Source organism: Homo sapiens, chromosome 6, assembly GCF_000001405.40.
Source record: "Homo sapiens chromosome 6, GRCh38.p14 Primary Assembly".
NCBI classification, from domain to species: Eukaryota; Metazoa; Chordata; class Mammalia; order Primates; family Hominidae; genus Homo; species Homo sapiens.
Genome location: NC_000006.12, coordinates 29758669 through 29760048, shown reverse-complemented (window position 1 = coordinate 29760048; position 1380 = coordinate 29758669). Strand labels below are relative to the sequence as shown.

General features: G+C 49.7%; 1 annotated feature.

The window, feature by feature from the left end:
• Nucleotides 214-906: an enhancer, noted in NCBI's record as "OCT4-NANOG-H3K27ac-H3K4me1 hESC enhancer chr6:29726920-29727612 (GRCh37/hg19 assembly coordinates)". NCBI's record gives its function as "activates a minimal SCP1, AML or CMV promoter by ChIP-STARR-seq in primed H9 embryonic stem cells {active_cell/tissue: H9 hESC(primed)}" and the evidence as "EXISTENCE:reporter gene assay evidence [ECO:0000049][PMID:30033119]".

Below are 1380 nucleotides of genomic sequence, written 5' to 3'. Positions count from 1 at the left end.
CCTTAATTCAAAAATTTGACTTACTACAATAAAAGGGAAACAATAGAAGCATTCTGGAAATGGAACAGGAAAGAAGGCAGAGGTGGGAACGATCAATCTGTGTCATCTGAGAAGCCCCATGTGCAGAGGCTGTCCTGGGTCTTTAGGGGACGACAACAACAAAGCACACAGGATCCTGGTGTCAGGGACAGAGCATGGCCACTGTGGGACATAGCGGCTCTCCTACAAAATAATGCTCATATACATCCCTTATGAGGAGGATCAGATCAACATATAAAAATATGCCAGATAAAGTGGAGGCGAGGGCAGGATGGAGAGCTGCCAGTATCTGCCCTTGACCTCCATGGACTTGAAGAAAGGCTCAGCCTGGAGTTGTGTGAGGCCTCCGACCTGGAGCAGCACCCACCCCTAAAGACCAGGCACCAATCACAATGCAAGGAGAGATCCAGACAAATAAACAGGAAATGACCACAGCAGGAGCTTTGTTGAGCACAGAGCGAGGCCACACACCACTCAGCACCTGGCCCTCCACCCGCCCTTCTCTCCCCACCTGCCCCTGCCCCAGCACAGCAGATCCTCAGAATCCAAAAAGAGAACCTAACCTCCATGTTTTATTAATGGCTGATAATATTTTACCACAGCTTCAAAGAAATGATATGAGAACAATAACTAATAGAGTAAGAAGTCTATTCAGGGTGAGTGAGTGACAAGGGAAATCTAGGAGGCAGATATTATAACCCTTTCATTCCCAGAAAAGAAATGATGGTCCAGGGAGATACACCAGGCCTGGATATTGAGATTATGTGGAAGGGGTTCTGGGGCATCAGAGGAGTGGGCCTCACTCCCACCATCCTCCCCTTGCTATGCTTGGGAGGAGATAGAGCTCATCAGCTGCACAGCTGGGGAAAGAGAAGTCAGGGTCTTCCAAGAGACAAGGGGAGCTGTGAACAATCTGTGTCTTGCTGGTCTGCACAAGGCAGCTCTCAAACAGTGGAGAACATGCTAATGAGCAGATTCAGCTCAGCCACTCTCAGCCTTGACACCCTGAGCATTACAGACAGCCCATGACCAACCCCTACTTTCAAATCCAAAGATCCCCTACAGCTTGAAGCTGCTCCCCGGCCTCAACTCCTGTTGGTGTTGGGCCCCAAGGGTCATATTTCAGGAAGCTGTGAGCACCACATCAGCATCAGGGACCCGGTCACCACCTGGAGAATGATAATAAAAAGACCCAGCAGAGCCTGCAGGAGGAGACTGTATTTGAGGCAGGACCATGGGATAAGTGAGGAATGAGACGGTGGCTCCATCCTGTCTATTTCAGGAGTTAGAGATGAGCTGCCCCTACCGCCCTTTCCATGCTGCTTTTTATTGAGTAGACCC